Source organism: Homo sapiens, chromosome 13 (genome assembly GCF_000001405.40).
Source record: "Homo sapiens chromosome 13, GRCh38.p14 Primary Assembly".
NCBI lineage: Eukaryota > Metazoa > Chordata > Mammalia > Primates > Hominidae > Homo > Homo sapiens.
Genome location: NC_000013.11, coordinates 36,137,165 through 36,151,138, shown reverse-complemented (window position 1 = coordinate 36,151,138; position 13,974 = coordinate 36,137,165).

Below are 13,974 nucleotides of genomic sequence, written 5' to 3'. Positions count from 1 at the left end.
AATATTTACATATTTTAATTCTTTAAGTGTCATTTCACTGCAAATTTTTTTCCATTCATTTGTCCTTTTTTTCCCAATAGATTTTTGAGGAACACATGGTGTTTGGTTACATGAATAAATTCTTTAATGATGGTTTCTGAGATTTTCATGCACCCATCACTCAAACAGTGTACACTGCACCCAGTGTGTTGTCTTTTATCCCTAACCCCCCTCACCCTTTCCCCCGAGTCCCCAAAGTCCATTGTATCATTCTTATGCCTTTGTATCCTCATAGCCTAGCTCCTACTTTCAAGTGAGAACATAGGATGTTTGGTTTTTCCATTTCTGAGTTACTCCATTTGGAATAATTGTCTTCAGTTCCACCCAGGTTGCTCTGAATGCCATTATTTCATTCATTTTTATGGCTGTGTAGTATTCCATGGTGTATATATATCACATTTTCTTTATCCACTCATTGATTGATAGACATTTGGGCTGGTTCCAAATTTTTACAATTGCTTACTGTGCTGCTAGAAACATGCATGTGCAAGTATCTTTTTCATATAATGACTACTTTTCCTCTGGGTAGGTACCCATGAGTGAGACTGCTGGATCAAATGGTAGGTCTACTTTTAGTTCTTTAAGGAGTCTCCACACTGTTTTCTATAGTGGTTGTACTAGCTTACATTCTCACCAACAGTGTAAAAAAGTGTTCCCTTTTCACCATACCCACACCAACATCTATTATTTTTTAATTTTTATGGCTGTTCTTGCAGGAGTGAGGTGGTATCGCATTGTGGTTTTGATATGCATTTCCCTGATAATTAGTGATGTTGAGCATTTTTCCATATGTTTGTTAGCCACTTGTATATCTTCTTTTGAGAATTGTCTATTCATGTCCTTAGCCCACTTTTTGATGGGATTGTTTGTTTTTTTCTTGCTGATTTGTTTGAGTTTCTTGTAGATTCTGGATATTAGTCCTTTGTCCAATATAGATTGCAAAGATTTTTCTTCCACTCTGCGGGGTATCTATTTACTCTGCTGATTATTTCTTTTACTGTGCAGAAGCTTTTTAGTTTAATTAACTCCCATCTATTTATCTTTTTTTGTTTGTTTGTTTCATTTGCTTTTGGGTTCTTGGTCATGAAGTCTTTGCCTAAGCCAATGTCTAGAAGGGTTTTTCCGATGTTATCTTCTAGATTTTTTAGGTTTCGGGTCTTAGATTTAGGTCTTTGATCCATCTTGAGTTGATTTTTGTATAGGGTGAGAGATGAGGATCCAGTTTCATTCTTCTACATGTGGCTTGCCAATTATCCCAGCACCATTTGTTGAATAGGGTGTGCTTTCCCCACTTTATGTTTTTGTTTGCTTTGTTGAAGTTCAGTTGACTATAAGTATTTGGCTTTATTTCTGGTTTCTCTACTCTGTTCCATTGATCTATATGCCTATTTTTATACCAGTACCATGCTGTTTTGGTGACTATGGCCTTATAGTATAGTTTGAAGTTGGTAAATCTGATGCCTCTAGATGCCTCCTTTTTGCTTAGTCTTGCTTTGGCTTCATTTGTCCTTTAAACTTTGCCTATGATGCCCTTTGCCATAGGCAAAAATGAATTTTTATCTAAAAAAAGTCAAACTTTTCTATTATGAGTTATACTTTTTATAACTTAAGCTAGCCTCAACTTCAAAATCTTTAATATATTACCCCCATTTTTGGTAAAACTAGTTGTAAAGTTTGCATTTTATATTTGGTTCTTTAATATATCTGGAATTTTATTTTTATGTATGACATGAAGGAAGGAATCTAATTTTATTTTTTCTATGTGGTGAACAATTATTCTCACCCACTTTTTGAAGACTGTGTCTTTCCCCACGGATTTTTGGCACCATCTTTATCATATATCAAGGCCCTATATATGAGCAAGACTGTTTCTGGACACTCTAAAAGTTCCATTGACTTATTTATTTGTTGTAGCACCAAAAAAATTGCTGTTTTATTTATGATGAGTCTGAATATGGACTAATTTCTAATGAGAAAATATGTTTTTAAAATTATTTTTCAGGATTGTTTAGCTATATCTATAATCTTCTGTATGAATTCTATATGGACCAAAATTTTAAAAAAATACACTGTACCTTTAACTTTTCTCCTCTAATATGCAGAATAGCATACATCTAGCAAACAGCTATTTTTACTGGGCACATAAATCTTACTCCTCCAAAATTCCTGGTCTTTCTTAGGCAAGGGAACATGTTCCCAGTGGAAAAGGCCTGAGATTATATTCTGTTTTAATGCTTCTCATCCTGGTAGAATCATTTCTCTGTTTCTCAATGTTTTTACTTGCTGAGTAATACTGTTAATGTAGAATCTTAAAAACTGTAGGAAGGTTTTATTAAAAGATAAGAAGGTACCATGAGGCCTATTTTTAGTTAGAACTCTGGTACTTTTTGAGTTCTAAAAGCCTCAAATACAATGCCTCATCTCAGATGTCTTAGAATGTAGCCTCTTCACTTATTCATTCAGCAAATATTTACTAAGGTCCTATTACATGGCTGTTACTATCTTAGGTGCCAGGGATAGAGTGGCTTACTCACCAGTTCTTTGGAAGAGAAGAGACAATTATTATTTTCATTTTATAGGTGAAGGAACTAAGGCACAAGCTCTTCATTTAATTTGATTAAATACAAGTTGCATTTGCCGAGAGCTTACAGAGGTCCCAGACTATAGGGTTATGTATTAGGTGCTCTGGGATGATAATATCAAAGATGAGGAAGAGAGATGTTCTCTTCAAGGCTCGTCTCATCCAACATGACACATTACAGTCAACATGTAGCTATTACACTTGAATTCATATAAGACCACTTGCCTCCTTTCTAAGGAGATTTAAATTGATTCCTCAAGAAAGTAGGCTGTAAGTTGACTTTTGAAGAATGGAAGTATCATTGTCTGATTTCTAGTGAGATTATCATGTAGACAGATTGAAGGCCAGAGGAGATGCTGGAGCAAAAAGGGACCTGGGGAGAAAGACAACATTGCAGAGACAGGGGTGAGGCTGGTTGGAATAGAGGAAGTGTTTGGAGCATACAGAGATGGAATGAGTAGTGAATAGCACTCAAGTCTCTTGCACTTCTGGCTAGTAGAGGTCAGTGGATTAGGAGACCTGACATAAATTACAATCACAGGCAGGCTACCTATGCTTTGTCATTTGGTACTGATTCCTTTCTAGTAGTTTCCTTGTAATCTCCTTTACAATTTTTTTTATAATTCACCACTGAAACTTAATCATTCTTCCATCTATGCCCCCTGTACTCTGTGCATTTTAAAATGACAGCATCAGTAATTGTCAGCATACTTGATAATGTGTCTGTCTGCCTAACAGCAGAGCCATGTCTTTGGCCTTTGTGACCTCAACAACTAGCACAATGCCTGTTAGTTGAGGGAAATTTTGTCGATGGAAGAATAAACCTTCACGGCCTATTATTTACTGGATGGCTAGAGTTCCTTGGGTTTGTTTTTTAAAAAAATCTGTACATCTAATGCATCTTATGAGGTAGTAACCTGATGCACTGATATGACATGGGTCACAGAATCATGTGATTATGTGGGGGTGTGGTTATTGATGCAGAATGTGACATAACCCTGAAAGGGTTCTAGCGAGAAGCTGTAAAGAGTTGACTCAGCCAACAGTGCAGAGTGAATGGTCAGCAAATCACACATCTTGAAGTAGTTCAGGCCTTGTTGAGATTTACAGGAAAGACATTTTCCTAGTAATTGGAGGTTTTCTTCCTAGAGCAGTGTACTTATATTGTTCTACAAACTTGGGACTCAACTAAAAGTTGCCGTTAAAAAAGGTTTTAGAATGCCAAACAAGCCTAGTGTTTTCTATATTTCAATTCTCATTTGTTTTTAAATTAAAATTTCTTCAGCATTTCCCAGTCACCCTTTATGATATTTGTCTTGGACTTTTAAAGAATGTTCATTTGGGTATAGATGATGAAGCACAGCTGGAGAAATCATTAACTGTATCTTCCTTGAGAAAGGCACAAACTATTCCAGTAGATCTTATCAACTTGATAAGCATTTCCTGAGAATTTGCCATGAATCTAGTAACATTCTGAGTAAGCGGAAGTACGTCAAAGTTAAAAACAAACAAACTATCACTAAGTAGACATGTAACCTAAAGCTAGTGACTTAAACTATAAACCTTGGTTTCCTCATTTGTAAAACTGGATACTTACTACCTATTTCATGGGTTATCACAAATAAAGAATAAGCATACAAATTTACATTTGCGAAGCACAAGTGTCTGGTAAGACAAAAGACAACTCAGTAAGTAAAAGTCACTCATAATTAATAAATTCAGAGGAACTATGTTCAACTATGCTCACCAGAAACACAGTTAGTAATAGTCATAATAAAGAATGGCAAACCGCCATGTTCCAGAATATTTGTGCTGGAGGAAGCAGTCAATGAAGGACCTTGGGAGGAGGTAGGACAGGATCATGGGCTTTGGAGTCAAATAACCCTTGTTATGAATCCTAGGCTGCCATATACTAAACCCTCAGTCAATATTAGTTCTCTTTCTTTTTCATTGTGTAATGATATAGCCACTTCCTTGGCAGTCACTTATAAGAAGGCCTTGACTAGCTTCCTGTAGGTATAGCCTGGCAGCACCTGGCCTAGAGCTTCATACCAATTACCTCTCACTTTCTGTCCCAGAGCTTTTCTGAATCAGAAATTTGGTTGCCAGAAGGAATCTGCTCTACACTCTGCCATGTGCAATTCTGTCTCAAAGAGAGTTAAAGCCTTGGACATCCTTGAGAAATAGGGGATGGGAACTAATGGATACATGTTTCCGAAGGCGTTTCACAAGGATCCTCAGATGGTCCAGTGGGATAATGCACAGTTGTCTGTAGTAGTGACCACCTTGACAACTTATCATTGCACTAGATTTCTTTCTTTTTTTCTTTCTCTTTCCTACTACCTCATTCCTGCTTCCTGGACTTACTCCAAATAAACCACTTGCACCCAAGACTTTGTTTCAGGATCAGCTGTGGGAAAAACTCAGGCTATTATATACATTGCCTGTGCTAAATACTGGGAAAACAAAGTTGAGGAAGATAAATGCCTATCCTAGAATACTTCACAGTCTAATTCAGGAAACAGGTATTTAAACGTATCATTCCAATACTGTATGTTTATACAGTTTACATTTACTGCATACTTGACATTTAACTCAAACCTTAATCCTAGTTTACTAAATACATAGCAGTTAAACAAATGGAAACTGTTTTGCATTTGTGCTCAACACACGGTTTGTGTGAATCATGTAAACAAATATAAGTAACTGTATTTCATACATTTTCACTGCAGCATAGTTTGCCATTACAAAAATATATCACATGTGATTTATCTACTTTTGTGTTGATGTCCACTTGGATTATTTATATTTTTATATTTTTTCTGCTATAGATAGGGCTTCCAGGAGCACTCTTCTACCTGTCATTTGGAGTACATGTGCAACAATTTCCCTTCTATCTGTTTAGAGGTAGGTATGCTGGTACATAGAATTTGCTTATTTTCAATTTTACTACATAATACCTGACAGTTTTATAATGTGATTATACCAACATACACCTCTTACAGCACTGTATAAGATTTCTGGTTTCTCCACAATCTCGTCACACTTTACATTGTCACACATTTTCATTTTTTTAATTAAAAAATTCCTCATGCTATCTAGTCTATGATATATTGTCACACATTTTCAGTTTGCCAGTGTAGTATGTGTAAAATGGTATTTTGTGATTTTAATTTGACTTTCTGTGACTACTAAGGGGATTGAGCTTTTGTTCACGTTTGTTGACCATGTTCATTCTTCTGTAAAATGCCTGTTCAGGTATTTTTGCCTATTTTCTACTGAGATGTTTTAATTTTTAGTATAGAGGCTGTTTATAAATTGTATATTAATCCTTTATCAATTATATGGGTTGCAAATTGTGTCAACTTATAGTTTATGGCTTATCTTTTAACTGTCTTTATATCTTTCAGTAAATATAAATTCTTAATGTAGTATGAGTTATTCATCTTTTCCTTTATTCTTTGCATTTTCTGTATCTTTTAAAGGAATACTCTCTTATCCTAACGTTGAAAAAATACATATTCTTCTACAAATTTATTTACTATTTTTCTGTTCACATGAAAGTCTTTAATCCACTTGGAACTGCTTCTTGAGTATGATATGCTCTAGGGTCTTAATTTTATTTTATTTTTCCCCAGTGAGGTAACTGATTCATTTACTTAAAAAATCCTTCTTGTCCCTTCTGGTCTGCAGTGCCCACTCAGTCACAAAACAACTTTTCATATGCATGGTGTTCTGTTCTTGGGCTGTCTGTTCTATTCCATTTTTCTATTTGTTCATTCTTGCACCAATACTACAATGTCTTAAATAATATAACCTTGTCTGATAAGGCAAGTCTCTCTATCTTGTTCTTTTCTTCAATCGAGTTTTGGTTATTTATTCTTTGCTTCTTGCTTTCCAAAAAAATTTTAGAATAAGCTTGTCACACTTCACAAAAAATTAAAACACAAGCAAAAATATGGTTGGCATTTTTACTGCAATCACACTAAATCAATAGATCAATCTGAGGAAAATTTATATTTTTATTATTTGATTAAATCAATCCATGAACATGGTATATCTGACCATCTATTTTAAGTTTGTTTTAATATGTTTCAATATAATTTTATAATTTTTTCATGAAGATCTTACACACCTTTTCAAAGGCTTATATTCCTTGATACTTTGTATTTTGGTGCTATGACAAGTGATATCATTTAAATTATATTTTCTAGCTGTTTTGCTGGTATATAGAAATGTAACTAATATTTGTATATTCATTTTATATCAACCTTACTGATTTTTCTCATTGATTCTAACAATTTGTCATTAAATTTATTTGAATTTTCTATTCAGATGGTCATATTATCTAAGAATGACTTTCTAATCCTTGTACTTTTTATTTCTTTATCTTTCCTTGCTATGTTTGAACAGCAGTGTAACAATAAGCATCCTTATCATCTCCCTAATTTAAAGAAAATACTTCAGTATTTCTTCAGTCAGCAGGATGACTGCAGTAGATCTGGGGGCTGCTATTTTAGGACTTCCCTTCTATTGCCAAGATTTTTTTAATCATGAATGCATGGTGAATTTTTATTTAATACTTTTCTATATCTGTTGAGATTATCACATGATTTTTCTCCCTTAAGCTATTTTAGTGATGAGTAACGTCGGCTGATTTTCTTTTGTTAAGCCAATCTTTCATTCCTTGGATAAACTCTACTAGCTCAAGATGTGTTTTATTTTTTATATCTCTAGTTTGTCTTGACAATGTTTGCATCTATTTTTGTAGATGAGATTGAGTTATAATGGTCTTTTTAAAAAAAAACTGTTCTTGTTAGATTTTGGTATCATGCTTTTGCTAGTCTCTTAAAATAAATTGAGGGGAATGTTCTCTTTACTTATACTTAAGAATAATTTTTGCAGGATGGAAATTATTTGTTCCTTCAATATTTGGCAGAACTCACCTGTTTTTTTTTTTCTGTGGGCCTGTTGTTTTCATTATGGGAAGATTTAAATTCTGATCCTATATTTCTTTTCAAGTCAGTTTTGGTAAGTTATATTTTTGAAGACTATTTCATCTAAGTTTTAAAATGTGTTGTCATAAACTCTTATTATCTTTCAAATAACTGAAGCATGCACAGTTAGATCTACTTTTTTATTCTTAATATTATTCACTTTCACCTTCTTTATTTTATTCTTACTTTATCTTTCCAAAGTTTGATCTATTTTATTTGAGTTTTTAAGGAACCAGCTTTTGTCTTTGATGATTCTCTATATTGTGTATTTGTTTTCTAAAACATTAAATCAACTCTATTAATTTTTTATTGCTGTATGACAAATGGCTGCAAACTGACTATCTGAAACAAAACTGATTTATTGTTTTATGTCTGGGTATGGTTAGCTGTATGCTCTTCTCAAGGTGGGGCTGGGGCTATGATAAGGCATGAGCTCTTCTTCCAAGCTCACTGGTTTTGGCAGAATTCATTTCCTTATAGTTATATGGCTGAATTCCCCATTTGCTTGTTGGCTCCTTAACTTCTACAGCTAAACACAATTCTTTGCCATGTGGCCCCAGCAGGCAGTTTACAACATGGCTATTTGCATACCTCCAGGACAGAAGAAGAGCACCTGCTGAACCTTTGAATTTCTCAGACCTCTGTCTCTGACCTCTAAACCCTCTTTTAAAGGGCTCACCTAATTAAGTCAGGTGCATCCACAGTCAACAGAAAGAGATTATGCTGGTTGTGTGCTCAAGGATGCAGAAATCTTGAGAGCTATCATAGCATGTTTTCTGCCAGTAGTCCCTTATATTTGTCTTTTTATAAATCTTATTATGGCTTTATTCTGGGTTTTTTTTTTTTTTTTTTTTTTTTGAGACAGGGTCTCACTCTGTCGCCCAGGCTGGAGTGCAGTGGCACAGTCTTGGCTCACTGCAAGCTCCACCTCCCGGTTCACTCCATTATCCTGCCTCAGCCTGCCGAGTAGCTGGGACTACAGGCGTCCACCACCACGTCCGGCTAATTTTTTTGTATTTTTTAGCAGAGATGATGTTCCACCGTGTTAACCAGGATGGTCTCGATCTCCTGACCTCATGATCCGCCTGCTTCAGCCTCCCAAAGTGCTGGGATTACAGATGTGAGCTACCGTGCCCAGCCTGTTGTTTTCTTTCTAACTTCTGAAGTTAGATGCTTAGTTCATTGGTTTTCTAAAGTATTTTCTAAAGGCCATTATGATTTCTCCTTTGAACAATGTACAACTAAAAGAATATTTCAAATACTTTAAATATATACATTTAATTTTTTTTCCTTAAATTACTCATTTCCTACTTAATTGCATTGTAGGGAAGAATATTGACTGTATGAATCAATATTTGGAAATTTGTTGATTTTTTTCTATTTTCTTTTTATAATTCTGTCAATTCTTGCTTCATATTATTAAGGTCATATTATTTTGTGCTGGTGGGTAGAAATAGATTGTATGTTCTTGATCAATTGACTTTTTTATCATTATGTAAGCCTAGAAATTTTTACCTTAATATACTTATTTGAACTTTGTTAGTATTTGTATGTTATTTTTTTCCTTCTTTATATTTTAAATGTTATTGTCTTGTTATATTTTAGATGTGTCTCTTATCAACAGCATAGAGCTAGATCTAAAAATTCCAGTCTAGCAATTTGGCCTCTTAAATGGAGTTTTTAGCATAGTTATATTTTTGTAATTACTAAAATATTTGGGTTATTTTCAGCATCTTATTTTCTGCTTTATAATTGTTCCTCTTGTTCTATGTTTCTTTCACTTTCCTTTCATATCTTATTTTACATTAATTTTAAAAATTATATTATTTTTCTGTATTATTTTGGAAATTATATACCCTATACTTATCAATTAAAATTTGCTTATTCTAGAAATACATTTTAAAGAATTTTAGTGAGAATTTATGGAAAGTAAACATTTTTAGTTGTAGTTCCTCTGAAGAATATCTTTTTGTCACCCTTATTCTTGAGAATGATTTTCTTTGGTACATAATTCTATGTTGATAATTATTTTCTTTTTGCATGTTGAAGATATCATTCTACTGTTCTCTGGTTTCCATTTTATTCCTCCTAGGTTCATTATTTGCAGTAATTGTGTTCTAGAAACTCACTGTTAACACTGAATTATTAAATATTGAACCACTGCTCCTAGAGAAAATAAAAGGTGAGGTTCCATGAGCATGTGGTCACAACATTTTCATTAGCTTATCAACACATAACCTTGTTTTGTATGTGTTTCTGTTTAAAAACACCTTATTTAATCTATATTGTTGATTAATTAACATTGAACTTGCAGACCACAGCACTGTACTCATATCTGAATGCAGCTTCTGTAACATGTGTATTTTCCCCCAAAGACACATCATAGTCTTCTTGTTCTTAGGACCACTAACAGTATTTTAGCACTATGCTTGAGGAGAATTTTAAACCACAAAATCACCAACAAAAAGCACAGAAATCGAAAAATATGCCACTAAATAGACTGTGAAAAAGACAAATGTTTATAGTATAAGAGCTAATAAAAGAAGGCAGAGGGTTGTGTTGTTTGATCTTGGCTAGAAAGTATGTATGAGATAACTCAGATATTTTGCCACATTGTGCATCTCCCTGAATAACCATGAAAGTGCTGCAAGAATGGATTTTGGGGTTACTAATAAATTTTAGCAAGTAGGCAAATTTTCAAATATTGAATCTGTGAATAATGAGCACCAACTATAATTGGTCCTTTTTTAAAAAAATCTTATTCTTCAGGTTTTGTGCTCTTCAGTTTCACTCTAATAGTATATATGTCAATTTTATTTTTAAAATTTTTTGATAAAATTTTGATTTTCTTAGACTTCATAAATCTGGGGCTTAATATTTCTCATCAGTTCTTTAAGAATGCTCAGCCATTTCTTCTTCAAGTATTCTGTCACCCATTTTCTCTCTCTTTCTTTTTCTGGGACTCTAGACATATTTTTGAACTTTTTACTTTGTTATTTATGACTCCTAACTATTATTCAGTATCTTTCATTTCTTTGTCTCTCTGTGTTGCATTATGGATTCATTCTTTAAATCTAATTTCCAGTTTACTAAATCTTTCTTCGGCTATATCAAATCTGCTGAAAAAGCCATTGTTTAAATTTTAATTTCAGTTGTTTTCTTTAATTTTTACAAGTTCTTTTTGATACTTTTTTCCAAATATTATTGATCTTTTTAAAAATCCCTTGCTCTTGGCTTGAAATCTTTATCCTCTCTTCTATTACTTTAAACATACTACATACATGCATATATTTTTATATCCCATGTCTGATAATACCATTATCAGAAGTCATTTTAATTCTGACTCTATTTTTTACTTTTTTCTAGCTCATACTCATGTTGCTTTCTTTATTAATCTATTAAGTGTTTCCTCCTCCCCCTTCTACTTCTTCCTCTCCCCCATTCCTCCTTTCTTTTCTTCACCATTAGCCTATAATCTTTAGAAGTATATTAGTAGGAATTTTTTGAGACTTGGCTTGAAGATGTATTTCTTCAGTGAGGACTTTGTTCACTTTTCCTAAATGCCTGAAAACCATTTTAAACTGAATTGAGAGCTTCAAGGCTTTTTAGGTCACCAGGAGTATATGAATTTAGGCTGCAAACCTACATGAGGCCCAGAGTGTATACCTAAATTCTTAGGGAATATTTTCCTCCTTAACCTAAAACAAAATGTTGAGATAGGCACCCTTTCTCTGACAGTGTATGGGGTTTCCTTTTCAGCATTTCATGATAAGCATATTCTAGGTTTTGTCTCCAATCTTCCTGCATTGGGAGGCTATGAAAACTAAAGCTCAGTGCTCTCAGGGTAAAGCCAATTTGAGTTCTTTTTCCCTTTGTGTGTGTATTTGTTACTTGAACCACACCCACTGATTTTTATAAAAACAATATATTCTATCATTTGGCCTCACATTTTATTAGAACTAAGAAGGGTAGGAGAGTTTTTCAGAGTTTGGTGTCACATCCATGCGTACTAGGTTAGTGTTGTGAAAGTTCTGAGCACTGGGTGGGGGGCAGTGGGAGGGGAATATGCTTCATTCTTTGTGCAGTTTTTCAAACTATTTTCTTTTCAAACTACAAAACCAGAAAGTGTTCATGTGATAGGGCATTAACATAGAGATACACAAAGAAAACGGCAACAATCTGTCTCCCCCACTATTGGCTCCTTAGCAGCCAATATTTACACTTTTGGATGCATGTTTATCCTTAGCTCTGTAAGCTCATACAATTATATGCCAACAGATACACAATACAGATTCTCTTTCTTTCTCTTCATTACCAAATAATGAGATGATACTATAAATATTTCTGCCACTTGCCTTTTCATATAACAGCATATCATATTCCTCCACGTCAATATATGTAGCCTAAGTCGTATGTTATTAATAGAAGCATGTTATTCTGTAGTATGTATATATGTGCTCCAATTTATTCAGCCATTTCTCTATTTATAAACAGTAGTTTTCCTGCCAGAATTTTACCATTGATGGTAGGGAAAGATCAGCAATGAACATTCTAGACACAATTTTATTTGTACTGGTGCTTTTATTTTTGTAGAATAGATCTTGCTGGATCAAAGGCTGTTTGCGATTTGCTTTCCAAAAAAATTATAGCTGTTGTATAAGAGTGTCCTTTCCTCCATATTTTAGCTAACAATATATTTTATCAGTCTTTCTAATAGATGCCAGGCTGATGAGGGGAAATGCATCTCATGTTTGCCTTGTTTACTTCAACCTGAATTTTCAATAAGGTTGAGCATCCTTCCATATGATTAATACCCATTTGCATCAACTCTAAAGTGGAAAACTGCATACACTTTATTCATTTTTCTATCAGATTGCTTGATGTTTACCTATAAATTTCTATGGCTTTTTGTAAGTTAGAAAGAGTAATCTTTGTCTGTCACATATATTTCAAATATTTTTTCCAGCCTATCATTTGTTTTTTGACTTTGCATTTGGTGTATGGACATTTTTATCAGTTTCATTGAGCTGTAATTTACATACAATAAAATTGACCTGTTTTAAGTGTACAATGTGGTAGATTTTGACAAATAGGTACCTGTATGTAACCATCACCACAATGATGATATAGAAGTTTCATTATCCCACATATTTTACCTATGCTTCTTTGTAACCAATCTTTTCCCACCTCTAGCCCTGTGACCACTGATCTGGTTTTCTTGCCTTTTCTGGAATTTCATATAAATGAAATTATGCAGCATGTAGTCATTTGTGCCTGTCTTTTTTCACTGAACATAATACCTTGAGATCCCATGTTGTGTGTATCAGCCGTTCCACTTTTTAAATAGCTGTATGCATATTCCACAGTTTGTTTATCCATTCACCAGTAAATATTTATTTCAGTTGTTGTTTTACCTAATATGAATAAAACTGGTAAAAAAGTTTAAATACAAGTCTCCGTAAACATATTTTTCTTTTTCTTGGGTATATATCTCGGTATGGGATTGATGGGTCATAGAGTAGGTACAAAAAAAACTGGCAAATTATTTTTCAAAATAATCATATCATTTTATATTCCAAATAGGGATGATGAAGAGCTTTAGCTGCTCAACCTCCTCCCCAACACTTGGTATCATCAGTCTTTTTATTTTTAGTTATTCTGTTGGGTGTGCAATGGCATCTCATTGTGGTTTGGGTTTGCATTTCCCTAAAGACTAAAGATGTTGGGCATTCTTATGTGTTCTTTGGTGATGTGTCTGTGCAAATCTTTTGCCTTTCTACCCCTTTTTTTGTTCTGTTCCCTGTTGAGCTGTAAGAGATCTTTATTCTGGATGCAAGATCTTTATCAGATATATATTTTGCAAATTTTTTTTGCTACTTTGTGGCTTGCCTTTTCATTTTCTTAACAGTGTCTTTTGAAGAGCAAAAGTTTTTTAATTTCATAAAAGCCATCTTAGCTAATTCTTACTTATGTTTCATGTTTTTGGGTCTTCTCTAAGTAACCTTTGTATAGCCAAAGGTCACAAAGATGTTTTTCCCATATTTTATTCTAGAAATTTTATTGTGTCAGTTTTTGCATTTAGATTTATGGTACATTTGAGTTAATTGTTAAATGAAAGAAGTTATAATACAATACATTACATCTGTTAGCATCCTACATTTTTCTGTTTAAAGCTACACTTTTGGTATATATACATATACATGAAAAAGTTTAGAATATATATGTACCAAAAATATTTTGATTTTTTTCACTTAAAAGATTATCAACAGCAGAAATGTAGTACGTTTTCTCTTTGTTTAAAAGATACCTTTAAAAATCCACTTCTACAAATTAAATTAAATTTTAAAAGACTCCTTG